The following is an 18,823-nucleotide window of genomic DNA, read 5'->3' as shown; positions in this document are numbered from 1 at the left end:
AGTGCTAGGATGATAGATGTGAGTCACTATGCCCAACCTCTAAGGATACTTTTAATGAAAACTATGGGTAGACTAAATAAAATCCTGTATGTATTGGTTGTTAAATATTATAGAAATATTTTTTAACATTTGCTCTGTTTTCTCCCCTATTTTATTAGAAATTTAGTACACAATTATTGGCTATTATAGTTAAGTGGGGGATTTTGTGTGTGTGTGTATTGGAAATAATATGATTTTTGAAGATATTATGTGGCAAGCATGAGAGTGCTTATCTTTCAAAAGAGACCATCAGTAGATAGAAACTTTAATAAGCTTAAAGTGACTTGTATGTTCAGTTTTGAAAGATTGATTCCCAAAAGCCCAAGAGCTAGCTTGTAGTATGTGTGGGCAGGCTATTCCCATGCTGTCAATACCATTACTGTCGTGGTGTATTTCATGATAAAGATTCTGAGCTTCAGCCATTTAGTGACATTGGGAGAAACGAAGTTGGGTATGTGGGAAATAGAGGATGGCAGATTCCATTTCCTGTCATAGTAGCACTTTAGGATTTTTTAGCCAAGATCATGTTTACATATTGTAGTAAAGGTATCATCATTATTCAGCTACTGAGAACTAGAATATTAAGAGACTGCTGGCAAGGCAAGCAGTTAATTTTCAGTTGAAATTGCATTAAATAAAAAGTATTTTCTTGCTTTGTGGAAGCACGTGAATTTTTTTAAAAAGCTGCTGGTTTTCCCCATTTACAGGTGCTGTACAGAGTAATGAGATGTGTGACGGCTGCAAACCAGGTGTTTTTTTCTGAGGCTGTGTTGACAGCTGCTAATGAGCGTGTTGGTGTTTTGCTCGGCAGCTTGGATCCTAGCATGACTATACATTGTGACATGGTCATTACATATGGATTAGACCAACTGGAGAATTGCCAGACTTGTGGTACCGATTATATCATCTCAGTCTTGAATTTACTCACGCTGGTATGTGAATTATTCTTTTCCTTTTTAATGTGTTGGTTTATTCAGGCCCTTAAATGGATATGTAAGAAATTAAGGGCTTTGTCTGGGTATGGTGGCTCATGCTTGTAATCCCAGCGCTTTGGGAGGCCAAAGCAGAAGGGTTGCTTGCATCCAGGAATTCTGGCACAGCTTGGGCAATGTAGTGAGACCCCATCTGTACAAAAAGTCAAAAATTAGCTTGGTGTAGTGGTGTGCACCTGCAGTCCTAGCTACTCGGGAGGCTGATGGAGGAGGATCGATTAAGCCCAGGAACTTGAGGTTGAAGTGAGCTCTGATTGTGCCACTGCACTCAGCCAAGGTGACAAAAAAGGCCCTGTCTCCAAAAAAGAAAAAAAATAAGGGCTTTGCTTTATTATATAATTTTTTTAGAGTACATTCATCAGTCTTATAATCTATGCTTTCATTTTAGTGTCTATTTACTTTTATTTTTAATGCAATTTTTTTTTTGAGACAGGGTCTCACTCCGTTGCACAGGATGAAGTGCAGTGGCATGATTTTGGCTCACTGTAGCCTTGACCTCTTGGGTTCAGGTGATCCTCCCACCTCAGCCCCCCAGGTAGCTAGGACTACAGGCGTGCACCACCACACCTGGCTAATTTTTTATATTATTTTGTAGAGATGGAGTTTTGCCATGTTGCCCAGGCTGGTCTTGAATTCTTGGGCTCAAGCAATCCACCTGCCTTGGCCTCCCAAAGTACTGGGATTATAGGCATGAGCCACTCTGCCAGGCCTCTATTTTTAGTGGTTGATAGCTAGTCTCAGTGTAGCTTTACTCGTTTTTTCTGAGGAAACATTGCTCTACGCACCAGATTCTTTCTTTTTTTCTTTTCTTTTCTTTCTTTTTTTTTTGGTCACAGGATCTTGCTGTATTCCCCTGGCTGGAGTGCAGCGGTACAATCAGAGCTCACTGCAGCCTCAAACTCCTGGGCTCAAGTGATCCTCCCACTCAGCCTCCCGACTATCTGGGACTACAGATGCATGCCACCATGCCTGGCTAACCTTTATATTTTTTGGAGAGAAGGGGTCTCGCTACATTGTCTAGGCTGGCCTTAAATTCTTGGTCTCAAGTAATCCTCCTGCCTTGCCCTCCCAAAGTGCTGGGATTACAGGTGTGAGCAATCATGCCTGGCCTCCTTTAATTTTTTTTTTTTTTTTTTTTTTTTTTGAGACGGAGTCTCGCTCTTTTGCCCAGGCTGGAGTGCAGTGGCACAATTGTATTTTTAGTAGAGACGGGGTTTCACCATGTTAGCCAGGATGGTCTCGATCTCCTGACCTCGTGATCTGCCTGCCTTGGCCTCCCAAAGTGCTGGGATTACAGGCGTGAGCCACCGCGCCCGGCCGGCCTCCTTTAATTTCTTAACCATAAATATCCTCCCCCCACTTTTATTATGGACGTTCTGAAGCACATAAAAATAGGGAGCATAGTATAATAAATTTGTACATATTTAACACTCAGCTTCTATAATTAGAAACAAATGGCCCATCTGGTTTCATCTAGGCCTCTTTGCTATCCTTTCATCTCCAACTAGATTATTTTACAGCAAATTCTAGATGACATTCTGCTGAGCATTTCTGCCAGAATTACACCTCTCTTTGCTAATGTGAAAAAATGCCCATGATAACTGTAAAATACGTGTGTCCTATTTAGGTGTCTAAACACTTTAATGTCACAGTATTAAGGCCTTAAAATATAGCTTAGATATATTTTTCTAAATTAAAAGACTTCATTTTTTAGATATACAGAAAATTGAGCAGAAAACAGTGAGTTCCCATATACCTTCTTCATCCCAACAGTTTCCCCCTCATTAACATATTGTGTTAGTGTGGTACATTTATTACAAAGGAGTGAATATTGATATATTATTATTAACTAATTTTATAGTTTACTTTGTGTTATGTATTCTATGGACTTTAACATGTGTAATGACATGTTTCCCCTATTACCAGTATCATACAGGATAGTTTCACTTCCCTAAAAATCTTTTATGTTCTACCCACTCCTTCCTCGTTCCCTCTCCCCACTCCTCCCTCCCCCCATCTTAAGCCCATGGCAACCCCTGATCTTTTTACTGTCTCCATCGTTTTGCCTTTTCCAGAATGCCATGTAGTTGGAGTCATATAGTATGTAGCCTTTTCAGTTGGCTTCTTTCACTTACCAGTGTGCCTTTAAGGTTTCTCCATGTCTTTTTGTAATTTGAGAAGCTCATTTTTTAAAAATTTTATTCTTTTAGATTGTTGAACAGATAAATACGAAACTGCCATCATCATTTGTAGAAAAACTGTTTATACCATCATCTAAACTACTATTCTTGCGTTATCATAAAGAAAAAGAGGTAAGTAATACACTGATAATGAATTTTGACAACTTGAGTCACTGAAGAGTTGGACCTAATGTTGCTTACCCCAGGCTATATAAGTGAAATTGAGTGAAATGTGAAATGTTTGATTTAGAATATAGTGATTGTATTTGTTCTTTTAAATTTATATTTCTTGATAATCATACTGAATACTTTCATGAATGGTGTGCCAGATACTCTTTTCAGACTATGCATCTTTTGCTGTTATTAAATTTATTAAATTTTCATAAGGGTAAAACAAGTTGACACATTTATAAAGTTATAAATTAAGAAGTACTGTATATTTGGTAAACAAAAATGACTGGCTTTTCAACCACCCCCTAGTCAAATCCACCACAGACTTTCCTGGTAGATTTAAGAAACCCAGTCTTAAACTGCTGTTTGCATATGTCTTTTGATGTTGATTATTAAAAAAAAAAAACAAAAACGGCCATTTTGGAAATTTCCTATTGACAGTTTTCATTTATAGTACTCTTTATTTGTGATAAAACTTAATAGATTTGAAATAGCATACTGATCTGTGTCAGTTTTCTGATTGGTTTTTAAAAAATTAAAATATTAAATGCTACAGACAGTGAATTGATCGATCTTAAATTTATTTGTATCATCAGCACTAATACAGATAGTGATTTATTTTCCATATAATTTTAGAAGATTTATTTTCCATTTATCACTTCCTTGAATTTTTTGTTTTTCAGGTTGTTGCTGTAGCCCGTGCTGTTTATCAAGCAGTGCTCAGCTTGAAGAATATTCCTGTTTTGGAGACTGCCTATAAGTTAATATTGGGAGAAATGACTTGTGCCCTAAACAACCTCCTGCACAGTCTGCAACTTCCTGAGTCCTGTTCTGAAATAAAACATGAGGCTTTTAAGAATCATGTGTTCAATGTAGACAATGCAAAATTTGTAGTTAAATTTGACCTCAGTGCCCTGACTACAATTGGAAATGCCAAAAACTCACTAATAGGGGTGAGCCTTTAATTGTAATGACTTTGTTTTATCAACAGTTAAGCCTTTTCTCATTACATATTTATGTATTTCACTGTTATGTCAACATGTCTGCAGAATCACTGTATGTAACAAACAGCCATATTTAAGACATGCCTGGATAAATAAAATTGGTAGGAATGTTTTCTTGCCATTATATTTAACTTTTCTTCTTTTTCCTTGACAAATCTTGATAAGTTTTTTTATATTAGTTTTATTTTCTAGAAAATGTCTTATGAATTTCTCCTATTTGCTCTAGCATGCTTACAGAAAATGTCAGTGTTTCTTACAGCTCAAATTTGTATAGTTGTTTTAAAATGCGGTCTCTTTCTTCTTCCCCTGGTACTTTTTTCTTTCTGTGTACTGAAGTTAGTTCTTATACATGGTCTTATATTTTGGCTGTCTCTTTTTCCCTAGGAACATTCATACAGGTTGAATATTCCTTATCTGAAATACTTGGGACTGGAAGTGTTTTCGATTTTGGATTTTGGAATACTTTTTTTTTTTTTTTGGAGATAGTGTTTTTACTCTTGTTGCCCAGGCTGGAGTGCAATGGCGCGATCTTGGCTCGCTGCAACCTCCGCCTCCCGGGTACAAGCGATTCTCCTGTTTCAGCCTCCCAGGTAGCTCGGATTACAGGCATGCACCACCACCCCTGGCTAATTTTTTTGTATTTAGTAGAGATGGGTTTTCACCATGTTAGCCAGGCTGGTTGTGAACTCCTGACCTCAGGTGATCCACCTGCCTTGGCCTCCCAAAATGCTGGGATTACAGGTGGGCACCACCATGCCCAGCCGGAGTTTGGAATATTTTCATAACACTTACTGGTGAGCATCCCTAATCTGAAAATCCTAAATCTAAAATGCTCCAAAATTTGAAACTTTTTGAGCACCAGTATGATGCCCCAAGTGGAAAATCCCACACTCAACCTCATGTGATGAGTCCAAACTGTTGTATGCCCAAAATTATTTAAAATATTGCATAAAATGACCTTCAGGCTATGAATAGAAGGTGTCTATGAAACATAAGTGAATTTCGTCTTTAGACTTGGGTCCCATCCCCCACATATCTCATTTTATATATATGCAAGTATTCTCAAATCCAAACATATACAAAGTCTGAAACACTTCTGGTCCCAAGCATTTTGAATAAGGGATACTGAACCTGTAGTCTTCCTTTTGGTGGTGGTGGGGGGACTTTTTTTTTTTTTTATTTTATTTTATTTTTTTTTTGGGGAGACAGAGTCATGCTGTTGTCAACTGGGCTGGAGTGCAGTGGTGCAATCTCGGCTCACTGCCACCTCTGCCTCCCGGGTTCCAGCAATTCTCCTGCCTCAGCCTCCCGAGTAGCTAAGATTACAGACACTTGCCACTACGACGGGCTAATTTTTGTATTTTTAGTAGAGACTTGGTTTCACCATGTTGGTCAGGCTGGTCTCAAACTCCTGACCTCAGGTGATCCACCTGCCTCAGCCTCCCAAAGTGCTGGAATTACAGGCATGAGCCACCGCGCCCAGCCCGTGTGTTTTTTTTTTTTAAGTAATTTGACGTGGCCCTGCTCTTGATTTGTATTTATTGTTTATGGTTTGTGTATTTCTTCTTCCTATTGGACCACACAGAGTTGAAAAACATCATTTTTAATAGAAAATAATAGGTGTAGGCTGGGCACGGTTGCTGACACCTGTAAACCCAGCACTCTGGGAGGCCAAGTCAGGCTGATCACCTGTGGTCAGGAGTTTGAGACCAGCCTGGCCAACATGGTGAAAGCTCGCCTCTACTAAAAATAGAAAAATTAGCCAGGGGTGGTGGTGCACACCTGTAATCCTAGCTACTTTGGAGGGTGAGGTAGGAGAATTGCTTGAACCCAGGAAGTGGAGGTTGCAGTGAGCTGAGATCACACCACCGCACTCCAGCCTGGGCTACAGAGCCAGACTCTGTCTCAAAAGAAAAAAAAAAAAGAAAGAAACAAAGAAAGAAATGGATGTAATTAGGGAATAAAGTTTTTAGGAGGAAGAAGGTAAAATTTGATGTTTGCGCTTCAATGTGCTCCGTGTTGTTAGATTGGATTGCCTTGTATAATTCCATAGCTGCTTCGCTTATTACCAGTTACAGTTTATGTTTGAAGTCACAATAAACTCTTCTTCAAACATGAAAGCTTGATTTTTGAGGAAAATTATTCACATTATTTACAGATTCAAAGATGTTTATGTCCTGTACTCTAGAAATAAGGAGAAAGTGGGTGGGGATGGGGCAGTCAGGTGGAGTGGAGTGTCTTGGCAGTGTAAAGGAAAAAGATGGATGGAAAAGGTGTAGGGTGGCAGGGTGTGCCTCTGTTTCCTTATTGAACAGGGCACCTTGCCATTTGCAGTATATGGAAAATTGAGGAAATACAGTCTACTTCCGCAAAAGGCACATACAAAGGGCTCTGTTTAGACCAGAGATCAGCAAACTATGGTCTGTGGGCCAAATACAGCCCAGCACCTGTTTTTTGTCTGTTATTTTAAGTGTATAATTCACTGATTTTTACTATATTCACAGAAGTGTACAACCATCACAACACTAGTGCCTGTTTTTGTAAAGAAAGTTCTTGTTGGGCTGGGCGCAGTGGTTCACGCCTGTAATCCCTCGGGAGACTGAGACAGGCAGATCACCCAAGCTCAGGAGTTCAAGACCAGCCTGGCCAACATGGTGAAACCCTATCTCTACTAAAAAAATACAAAAGTTAGCAGGGCGTGGTGATGGGCACCTGTAATCTCAGCTACTTGGGAGACTGAGGCAGGGAGAATTGCTTGAACCCCGGAGGTAGAGGTTGCAGTGAGCTGAGATCGCCCCATTGCACTCCAGCCTGGGCGACAGAGCGAGAGACTCCGACTCAAGAAAGTTTTCTTGGAACACAGGTACTCTCATTCCTGTGTTTTGTGTGTGGCTGGTGTTTTGTTTTGAGAGAGAGAGTCTTAACTTTGTCATCTAGGCTGGAGTGCATTGGTATGATCTCGGGTCACTGCAACCTCTGCCTCCCAGGTTCAAGCGATTCTCCTGCCTCAGCCTCCCGAGTAGCTGGGATTACAAGTGTGCGCCACCATGCCCAGCTACTTTTTGTAATTTTAGTAGAGATGGGGTCCCGCTGTGTTGCCCAGGCTGGTTTCAAACTCCTGGGCTCAAGTGATCTGCCCACCTTAGCCTCCCAAAGTGCTAGGATTACAGGTGTGAGCCACAACACCTGACCTGTGGCTGTTTTCTTACTGTAGCGATAGACGAGGAGTTGCTGCATTGCATAGAGATGCTATATTGCACGCAAAGGCTTTACTGACTTCACAAAAAAGTATTTGTCCCAGGTGTAGTGTACTAGATCCCTTCCAATCTGTAATTTTAATTTAAAAATGTCCAAATACCCCTGTTTTGAAGGATAAACTCTGTATGCTTGTGCTTATTTTGGAGAAGCCATAAACTTACTTTGTTTTGTACGTGATCAGATGTGGGCGCTATCTCCAACTGTCTTTGCACTTCTGAGTAAGAATCTGATGATTGTGCACAGTGACCTGGCTGTTCACTTCCCTGCCATTCAGTATGCTGTGCTCTACACATTGTATCCTCATTGTACCAGGTACTGTATTCACAAATTTTTCTTAAGAAAAGAACCCCACAAAACATTTTATTTTTTTAATGGATAGATTTTAAAGATGTATGTTGATTTAACTTTGGACTTGCTTGCTTTCTTTGATTAAAGATGAAAAGATAATCTATGCTTTGTCTTTCAGGCATGATCACTTTATCTTTAGTAGCCTCAGTTCTTCCTCTCCTTCTTTGTTTGATGGAGCTGTGATTGGCACTGTAACTACGGCCACAAAGAAACATTTCTCAATTATATTAAATCTTCTGGGAATGTTACTTAAGAAAGATAACCAGGACACGAGGTAACAGATATTATATAGTATTAACCATTCCTAACTTTGTTAATTTGCCTTTATAATTTGAGAAGAAGAAATGTGGATTACAAAAAATTTAAAAAAATGTGGATTATAGAGGTGAGGTAGAGCAGCTTCTTTATTGTCAAACACCTTATAATTTGGTTTTATTATTTAATCTAGGCTTTCTTATTCTTTCTGAAAAGAAATACATGAAAAACCTCAATCCCCCACCCCCAGTGTTTCATAGAAGAATATATATAGATTTTTAATATTCTTTGCTTTTTTTTTTTTTGAGACGGAGTTTTGCTCACTGCAACCTCTGCCTTCCAGGTTCAAGCAATTCTCCTGCCTCAGCCTCCCAAGTAGCCGCGATTACAGGTGCCCGCCACCACACCCAGCTAATTTTTGTATTTTTAGTAGAGATGGTGTTTCACCATGTCGTTGGCCAGGCTGGTCTTGAACTCCTGACCTCAGGTAAGCCACCACGCCCGGCCTCTTTGCTATTATCATGCTGCGTTGGGAGGTTTTCTTAAAAGGCACACAACAATTTTGACAGTAATTTCTATAGTTTCATTTTTTATTTTTATTTTTTATTGTTTGAGATGTTTGAAAAACCAAGAGAAAACCAATGTAAGAAGACTAGGCTTTTAACTTTTTTTGTTTTTGTTGTTTTTTTTTTTTTAATGTACAGTCAACTGTATATTTTGTGTTTCAGGAAACTGTTAATGACTTGGGCTTTGGAAGTAGCTGTTGTAATGAAGAAGTCCGAAACATATGCACCTTTATTCTGTCTTCCGTCTTTCCATAAATTTTGCAAAGGCCTTTTAGCTGACAGTAAGACTCTGTTTTTTTTTTTTTCTATTTTGTTTATCAGTCCTTAAAAGGGTCTTTGGTAATGGGAGATGGTCATGAATCGAGCTCTTTTCCTGACCTGAAGATGTGTAATCCTCATTTTAATGACAGATACACAGTCTTGATTTTTTTTCATTCTTAGTATTAGAAAAATGTTTTGAAGTGATTGTCACATTTTTAAGCTAACGTGAATGTTTATAGTTTACATATACTTTTACATTTTCTCTCAGAAAAAGTTTTGTGTGATGACCCATCAGTTACATTACGTGGGTTTTGTTGAATGTGTCATTTTTCCAAATGTGACAGTCAATGAGGATTCTGGACAAGAACAGTGCCTAGTCTATAGTAGGCACTCACTCTTTGTTGAATGAATGAATGGATTCAGATAATTATGACAAACTGGGATATAATTTCTTTTGGCCAGCTGAAAGTAACTGTCTTTTAATGTTTAATAGCTCTCGTTGAAGATGTGAATATCTGTCTGCAGGCATGCAGCAGTCTACATGCTCTATCCTCTTCCTTGCCAGATGATCTTTTACAGAGGTATGAAATTAAGATCATGTCTTTTGACATTAACCCTAATAACCTGGAACTGTTAACACACCTGCTTTGTCTATTTCGTTCTTTCATAGATGTGTTGATGTTTGCCGTGTTCAACTAGTGCACCGTGGAACTTGTATTCGACAAGCATTTGGAAAACTGTTGAAATCAATTCCTTTAGGTGTTGTCCTAAGGTATAACAGTTGTTTTGGAGCAAAGACATTCTGTGATATTTACAGCCTCTACTGGTTGTCTACTTTAGGAGAAGACACATCACCTATTAGAGCATTAATGACACATCTTTTATGGCCCTGCTTGTCAGTGATTGAAGTGATGTCAAATAATCAAATTTTGCAGGTCTGCAAGAAAATTAAAAATTTTTAATGAGCTTTATAGGCTCACAATAATTAGTATAGAATAACTCATGTAGTGCCAAAATATGTTTCTTAGTAGCTCAGATATTTGAAAAACTAAACAGTAATCTTTTATTGTTTTTGATCAAGTTGATTTGGGAGCTTTTAAGAGCCTAAACTTGATCCTTTTGTAATAGATAAGCATAATGATTGGGTTTTTATGTTCACATGTTTGATATGCCTCCCTCAAATCCTCTTATGATGTCGGCACATGACCCATCTGAGGTGAATAAAAAAAGGATCTAAAGTTGTAATCACATCTCTGTATCCATTTGAAAGTCTCAATTTTACTATATTTTTACCTCCAGTGAGTTAATAAGTAAATAATCCACTTACAGTATGTGCTAACCTTTTAAGCTAAAATATTTTGCATAACAACAACTTTATTTTCTGTCTACAGCGATAACAATCACACAGAAATTCAAGAAATTTCTTTAGCATTAAGAAGTCACATGAGTAAAGCACCAAGTAATACATTCCACCCCCAAGATTTCTCTGATGTTATTAGTTTTATTTTGTATGGGAACTCTCATAGAACAGGGTAAGACATTTCTTTGACTATTTTATCTGGGAAAGAAAATTTTAAGATTCCCTTGACTTTACATGCAGTTTTGAAGAGAAAATATGTTTGGGGGTGGCAGAGTATCAAGTAACATTCTTCTCATATGGGTTATTTCAGTTTTCATCAATAGGAAAATTGCTTTGAAGATAGCATCTGTAGAAACAAAAATGGGCTTTGAAATTGAGTAATGAAATGTGGTTAACAGTTAACTGATGTGATGTCATTAACACTTTGGGGAGTGGGGTGGGGGTGGAGATATTCTAGAGATGCTTAGTTGCATTGAATGAGTTTCATTCCTGACTGGCATGAGCCGTTTACCCTAATCATCCTTCCACACTGTACCTCATCCTGTTAACTATACAAGACCTCAAAATGAGAGGGGGGGACATAATGCTTCTCAATTTCATAGGTTTTGCCTTTTTTTGGAGTAGGGAAAATTACAGTTCCTTATTCCCATTCCCCTTGCATTTTTTTTTCATTATTAAAATGAAGTTGTCATTGTCTTTTAAATATGAAACTACTTTTCCCAGGAAGGACAATTGGTTGGAAAGACTGTTCTATAGCTGCCAGAGACTGGATAAGCGTGACCAGTCAACAATTCCACGCAATCTCCTGAAGACAGATGCTATCCTTTGGCAGTGGGCCATATGGGAAGCTGCACAATTCACTGTTCTTTCTAAGCTGAGAACCCCACTGGGCAGAGCTCAAGACACCTTCCAGACAATTGAAGGTAACTCGCTCAAGCTTTATGATGTGAATACTTTCAAAGCCTTATTGAGAAATAATGGATTTTTAAATCTTTGTTAAAGATTTGAGGGTATATGATTTTTTTTGAAAAAAGTCAATAATTTTCAGGTTTGTTTGTTAGAATAAGCTTTCATTGAATAATTGCATTGGAAATATGTTTGTTTTTTTTCCAAAACTTATGGGAGTTGTGTGGAAAAAATATATATTTTTTTCCCCTAAAATGAAAGATCTTTCATGTTGGGATTTTTTATTTTTAAATGATGGGTAGACAGAGGATACTTGATAAATGTGAATTGGTCATAAAAAACTCACACTTATTCTAGGAACTTTTAAGATTTTTAAAAATTCAGAATGTTGTCTTTGCTTTCAGGTATCATTCGAAGTCTCGCAGGTCACACATTAAACCCTGATCAGGATGTTAGTCAGTGGACAACTGCAGACAGTGATGAAGGCCATGGTAACAACCAACTTAGACTTGTTCTTCTTCTGCAGTATCTGGAAAATCTGGAGAAATTAATGTATAATGCATACGAGGGATGTGCTAATGCCTTAACTTCACCTCCCAAGGTTGGTTTCCGGGAGATAGTGTTGTTTTATAGCAGTTTAATGGTCACAGCTGGCAGTATGTGCAGAGCTGAAATCACAATAGACTTGTGTATTTGGTTTATATATAGGTGAGACATCCTTACCTACAAATTGAACCAGTCCTGAGCTTTTCTTTCTCTTATCGTAAAGGTCATTAGAACTTTTTTGTATACCAATCGCCAAACTTGTCAGGACTGGCTAACGCGGATTCGACTCTCCATCATGAGGGTAGGATTGTTGGCAGGCCAGCCTGCAGTGACAGTGAGACATGGCTTTGACTTGCTTACAGAGATGAAAACAACCAGCCTATCTCAGGTAAAGTGGTGTGTTTGAAATTCATTTTAAGTCTGTTAATAAGAAAAACATGGTTTAATTCCTTTGGTATGATTTAATCTATGGATAAAATAAGTTAAAGCTTGGATTCATTTTCAAAGGTTTTGATCCTGTATTTTGTAAAAGCAACAACTGCCAGAGTTACCTATTTTATTCGTGTTAAAACAGTGTTAGAAGTCAAAATAATGTTCATGTTTTTGTTCATGTTAAAACAATATTCATGTTAGAACACGTTAAAACTCTATTTCTTCCGTGCAAAGTTTAGAACTTTAAAGGTAATTCTGAAAATTTGTTTATGGGGGAAAATTTTTATTTATTTATTTATTTTTTTGAGACACAGTTTCACTCTGTCGCCCAGGCTGGAGTGCAGTTGTGCGATCTCGGCTCACTGTAAGCTCCGCCTCTCGGGTTCAAGCCTCTTCTTGCCTCAGTCCCTGGGATTACAGGCACCCACCACCATACCCGGCTAAGTTTTGTATTTTTAGTAGAGACAGGGTTTCACCATGTTGGCCAGGCTGGTCTCGAACTCCTGACCACAAGTGATCCGCCCACCTCGGCCTTCCAAAGTGCTGGGATTACAGGCATGAGCCACTGCACCTGGCCAGGAGAAATTGTTTTTATAACGTATGACAAATGCTTGAGTAATTCCTGGCTTGAAAGTGGGCTCACAATAAATAACTGGAATCCAAAAATAACAAAATGTTTAGCAATTCAGGTAATGTCAAGCAGTTTTCAAACACATGAAGTTAATCATTCCTTAATTCCTGTTTATTTATATTTCATTTTTGCTTTCTTTTTACTCCATGTGTTATTCCTACAGAGGTCACAGGTTAAATGTTTTTGGGTAACTTTGGGGTGGGGGTACAAACATCCATGTGCTGCTAAGGTTCTGTTAGTCACCCTTTGTGGCTATTTTATATGTAACATTTTAAAGAATTCTGAGCTAAATAATGTGAAAATTGTGACAATAATTGTTAAATACATTTGGCTTTAAGCAGGCACAGACTGATCAGTTGTAAATTTTATAGGGATTTATGTTTTAATGGTATTGGGTGACTAACTTTTCTGAATGCGTTTTCAGGGGAATGAATTGGAAGTAAGCATTATGATGGTGGTAGAAGCACTATGTGAACTTCATTGTCCTGAAGCTATACAGGGAATTGCTGTCTGGTCATCATCTATTGTTGGAAAACATCTTCTGTGGATTAACTCAGTGGCTCAACAGGCTGAAGGGAGGTAGGTTGGAGGGAAGGAAATGGGTGATAGAATTACTTTATGTTTAAATTCTTTGTATTACTCACTGACATTGTAGCCAAATCTTAAAACAGCTTTGTTTGCTTTCAGCATTGAAGCTTGCTATAAATCCCTTCACCAGGAGGCATCTTCAGTTTGTTCTTTAGTTAGCAGCAATACTGGAGTGCCTTTCTTATTTAAGAATTAGTGGCAAATCACACTGTAAAACAAGACCTGTCAGTTGTTTTATAAATGCTTTTGAACTTGATCCCTAGTTGAGCTCCTTCCCCCTCAGAGTCTGATACAAATTACCCTTTATTGTCAGAGTATTTGCTCGTTAGTCCAGTGAACTCTACATTCAGACTCATTGCTTCCTCCAGGTAGAGGAGCTTGTACCATAATATTCTGTGTCCATTTATGTTAGTTTAATGAAATCTTGCGAACTTAGGAAAATAAAAGAACTGCTCATACTTCCATATCTTTGTAGTAACTTCTGTTGTGTGTCCTTTTGTAGTCCCATATTTCCATATCCATACGCTTTGTAATTCTTTTTTCTTTCATGTCGTTTCCTCCATTCTTCACCAAAACATCAGCGTACATAGGCACATGGTTTTATGATCTGTTTTTCCCACTCAATATTTAAAAAAACAAAATTTGCCATGTTAGGTAGGCTGGGTTCGGTGGCTTACATCTGTATTCCCAGCACTTTGGGAGGCCGAGGCAGGTGGATCACCTGAGGTCAGGAGTTCAAGACCAGCCTGGCCAACATGGTGAAACCCCGTCTCTACTAAAAATACAAGAAAATTAGCCGGGCATGGTGGCGAGCGCCTGTAATCCCAGCTACTCAGGAGGCTGAGGCAGGAGAATCGCTTGTACACGGGAGGCAGAGGTTGCACTGAGCTGAGACAGTGCCATTGCACTCCAGCCTGGGCAAGAAGAGCAAAACTTCATCTCAAAAAAAAAAAGTAAGTAGTTAGATAAATAAAGAAATAAGACTGCTTCAATTTGCTTTTCAGGTTTGAAAAGGCCTCTGTGGAGTACCAGGAACACCTGTGTGCCATGACAGGTGTTGATTGCTGCATCTCCAGCTTTGACAAATCGGTGCTCACCTTAGCCAGTGCTGGGTGTAAGAGTGCCAGCCTGAAACATTGTCTGAATGGTGAGCATTCAGTATTTTTAAATAAAGCAAAAGTTATAGTAATATATTTCGTACTGATGTTCTTATCATGTTTTTAGGTTTCTGTGCTCTTTGAAATATTTCTAATTGATCTGAATCTCTCTCTTCTTATTTTATAAAATACTTTCAGGTGAATCCAGAAAAAGTGTGCTGTCCAAACCGACTGACTCTTCCCCTGAGGTTATAAATTATTTAGGAAACAAAGCATGTGAGTGCTACATCTCAACTGCCGATTGGGCTGCTGTGCAGGAATGGCAGAACGCTATCCATGACTTGAAAAAGAGTACCAGTAGCACTTCCCTCAACCTGAAAGCTGACTTCAACTATATAAAGTAAGGCTTTCTGTTTCCAGTTATAAAACAAATTTCCAATAACTATGATGTTTTTCCTATGGCAAAAAAATATTAAAATTGGTCATATGTAGTAATACAAAATGGTTATATTTCTAACTTACTGCCATTATGAAAATGACAACAGGAAACTGACATCAGAGATGAGGGAAGGTATTTGTATAATGGGAAAACACTGCTGAGATAGTCATTTGGTATTAATTTTCAGAACCTGTCGTTCTAAAACCTTAATACAGTTTGAAGATTATGCCAGAGTGAATATAAAGAAAAATTTGTACTGCTTTAGAAAGAATCACATTTGATGGCTTTGTTTCGAAATGAGGTCTGAATATATCAAAAACATTTATTCTAATGAGGACAGAGTTTGTGAACATCTGTAAATTAAACTTTCTTCTCATTCCTCTGTGCTTTTATTAATTCTGTAATTCAAAACTGAGCACTCACTCTGTTGCAGACACTTGGCTGGGAAGATAAAGGTCATTAGACTTTGTCTGATACCCTTGCCTTCTACTGCTAAATGGGTTAATGTGTAATTGCTTCACTGAGCATGTGCTGTGACCCAGGCAGCACATAAAACAGACACAAATTCCAACCTTTTAAAGCAAAGATTAGATAAAGATTATTGATAGAAGGACTAATTGGACCTCACTCACCTTTTCTGTGCCATAAGGAAAGCAGTTAGGTAAAGCTGACCTTCTTTGGAGGGAAGACACAAGGTCAAGACATGCCCATCAGGATGCCCTTTGGGCCTAGACCTGATGTGAGAATGATGGGCTTGGAGTGTTCTGGAAATAGCTGGGAGGCCTGTGTGTTTAGGAGCGCCTTAAACAGTAGGATATAAGGGCAGAGAAGTAGCTGGGAACTGAGAAAAGAACTTTGGCTGTTATTCTAGTAAGACTGAAAATTTCAGGTGGGATTTGAACAGAGATGTGTTGTGATCTGACTTGGTTCATTCTGCTGTGGTGAAGAGACTGGAGGTGCGGGGCAAGTATGGAAGCATGGAGACCATTAATTTATGGGGGCAATGGTAGAGGGAAGAGAAACAATGCTATTAACTGGAGTAGGAGCACACAGAGAACAAGCCCTGTTTTAAGATTTCTAATGAAATGTGCAGATGAGATTGTTGGGTAAGCTGTTAAGAATTGGATTTTGAACTAAGGAGACAGTCTAAGCTTGAGAGATTTGCAGATGATTAGTACACAGAAAAGGCCCTCTTTCCTTTTCAGTCTCTATACTCTAGAGCCTTTGTAAGCAACCAAACCAGAGAGAAGCCTCTGGAGAATAGTGAGTGAAGAGGAAGGAAGGCCTGGGTCAGAATCCTAGTTTAGCATTTTTGTGAAAGGATAGAAGAGGAAGCCATTCAAAAAAATACAGGGACATTGAGAAGGGAAGTGCCCTAGATATAGGACATCCAGATGGGAGTAGTCAGCCTTGTCAGATGCTCTAGGGATTATAAGGAAAAAGAGTTTTGTAGAGAGACAGAAGAAGCTAGATTGAATAGTATTGAGTGGTAGAGACATTTGAAAATGAAAAGCTTGAGGTAAGTTATTTGGTCAGTGAGTTTTTCTTGAAGTCGAGGATAGGAAGCTGTTGCTGGAGGGAAATATGAGATGTTTATTTTAAATGTTGGAGAGATTATGTTCTTTTGGCCAAGGGGAAGGAGCCACTAGAAAGCAGAGGTTGAAGAAACAGGAGAAAGAACATTGATAGATTAACTGGCCCTCACCTTTTCTCTGCCTCAAGGAAAGCAGTCAAAGTTGGTATAGACAGAATTTCGGCAGTGTATGGTGGATTGGGGGTAGGGGTAGAGGAAATTAAAGCCTGTGTTTTTTTGTTTGTTTGTTTTTTCTGAGGACTGAGTCATTAGCTGAAAGCATAGGGCATTATAGAGCATAGTGGGGACTTGGGGAACCTGCCACTGGAGAGGACTTAGGACCTTTTAATGGCAGAAATGATGACTGTGTTGGCAGCAGTTCATCAGTGCCCAGTACTCAAGGGTCCCCCTGAGAAGCCAGTGGTTGCACTGATCTAGGTAGAATCAGGCACAGAATAAGTCAGGTGATGTGCCTTTCTAGCACTGGCCTCAGGCTGAGTTATAAGGGAAGTTACACAGCGAGAGGGACAGGCAAAGATGGAAAAGAGAGAGAGTGAGAAACAGTGTCTTCTTCCTGGCTGGAGAGCCCGTGTCATGAAAATGGGGACAGGGTAAGGGATCTGAAAGGAGCAGCATAGAAGCTGGGAGGATGAGGCCTGTCTTCCTGGCATTGATGCTGCAGAACTACAGGAAAGAATTTCAGAGGTGTCATTATTTTTCATATAAGCAGATGAAAGAGAAGAATTCTTTGAAAAAAGAAAAGTAGGTGAAAAAGGGAGAGACGGAGGGATGCCAGCAGTGAAAGAAGCCAGGACTGAGATACAAGATTGTGATGCTGGGAGAGCTGCAAGGGCTCATGCTGTAGGTGAGGAGTGAGGCTGCACAGGGAGCTCACTGGCAGCTTGGAGAGAACTGGGTGTCAAAGTTGTCCTGCAGAGGTCTACTGTCAGTGTGTCAGGCTCTGAAGAGAACAGGCTGCAACACATGAAAACAGGAAGGAGACACGGGCGAGTCAGCTCCACTGAAAGTCTGTAGCTGTGACTTTCTGGTTTGCCACTCCAATTTGAGTACTAATTAAGTGGTAGTCACATCTGCAACATAAAAACCAAAATAATGGCATCCTCGTGGAAGGAATTTTGTCAGAAAAGTGCTGTGTACTTTGCTGTCTTCCTAGGATTTGTTCTGTTTTTGTTTGTTTGTTTTTTTTAATGGTTCCACAGGCTGCATAGGAATACAAGCTAACCAATATTTTAATTACAGATCATTAAGCAGCTTTGAGTCTGGAAAATTTGTCAAATGTACCGAGCAATTAGAATTGTTACCAGGAGAAAATATCAATCTACTTGCTGGAGGATCAAAAGAAAAAATAGGTAGGTACTTGAGAAAATAGTTTTAAAGTTATTTTAGTGGACAAGTTGCTCAAAATGTTTGGCTTAGTATATTTTACTGGAAAATCTGGAAGTTATTTTACATTTTTGTGGGGGCAGAATCCCATGTGAAGCAACAAATTTAGGGCTGCCCTATTTATGTTTGATTTGGGAAATGAAAAGCACTTAAAATTAAGTCAAATAAAAAAAATGACCACCTTAATACTTTGAGATTTATCTAGCCATTTTGTTTGATAAAGGACAAAGTAGTGTTTCAGCTAAATATTTTTCTTGATTTTCATCTTGATGTGGCTCATTAAGTTCTTTATCACAAATGGAACACTTGATAAGATGTTATTAAAAAGTTTAATGAGTATTCTGGATTGAGCAAGATTTGCTAATGCAGGTCTAGATTTGTCCCCTTAAATAGTAGATTGACTTACCGATTTTCTTTTTTGTTGAGACAGAGTCTCACTCTGTTGCCCAGGCTGGAGTGCAGTGGCGCGATTTCGGCTCACTGCAACCTCCGCCCTCTGAGTTCAAGCGATTCTCCTGCCTCAGCCTCCTGAGTAGCTGGGATTACAGGTGTCTGCCACCGTGCCAAGCTAATTTTTTGTATTTTTAGTAGAGACGGGGTTTCATCATCGTGGCCAGGCTGGTCTTGAACTCCTGACTTCGTGATCCACCCACCTTGGCCTCCCAAAGTGCCGGGATTACAGGCGTGAGCCACCACGCCTGACCTCGACTTACTGATTTTTGAGCCTTTGAAGGCAACTGCTTTTTAGGGGTCTGAGGTACAGTAATTTTGTA

General features: G+C 39.0%; 1 non-coding gene and 1 pseudogene across 1 annotated transcript; both read left to right on the top strand.

Moving 5' to 3' along the window:
- The window catches only part of SMG1P4 (SMG1 pseudogene 4), a 36,690-nt pseudogene that overhangs the window by 16,169 nt on the left and 1,698 nt on the right, over positions 1-18,823 (top strand).
- LOC124903801 (small nucleolar RNA U13) lies at positions 10,188-10,291 on the top strand. Its single transcript, XR_007065246.1, has one exon. It is a non-coding gene; the product is annotated as a small nucleolar RNA U13 (small nucleolar RNA).

Source organism: Homo sapiens, chromosome 16, assembly GCF_000001405.40.
Source record: "Homo sapiens chromosome 16, GRCh38.p14 Primary Assembly".
Lineage (NCBI taxonomy): Eukaryota > Metazoa > Chordata > Mammalia > Primates > Hominidae > Homo > Homo sapiens.
Note: the sequence above shows the minus strand (reverse complement) of the source record. Positions and strands in the feature narration are given on the sequence as shown.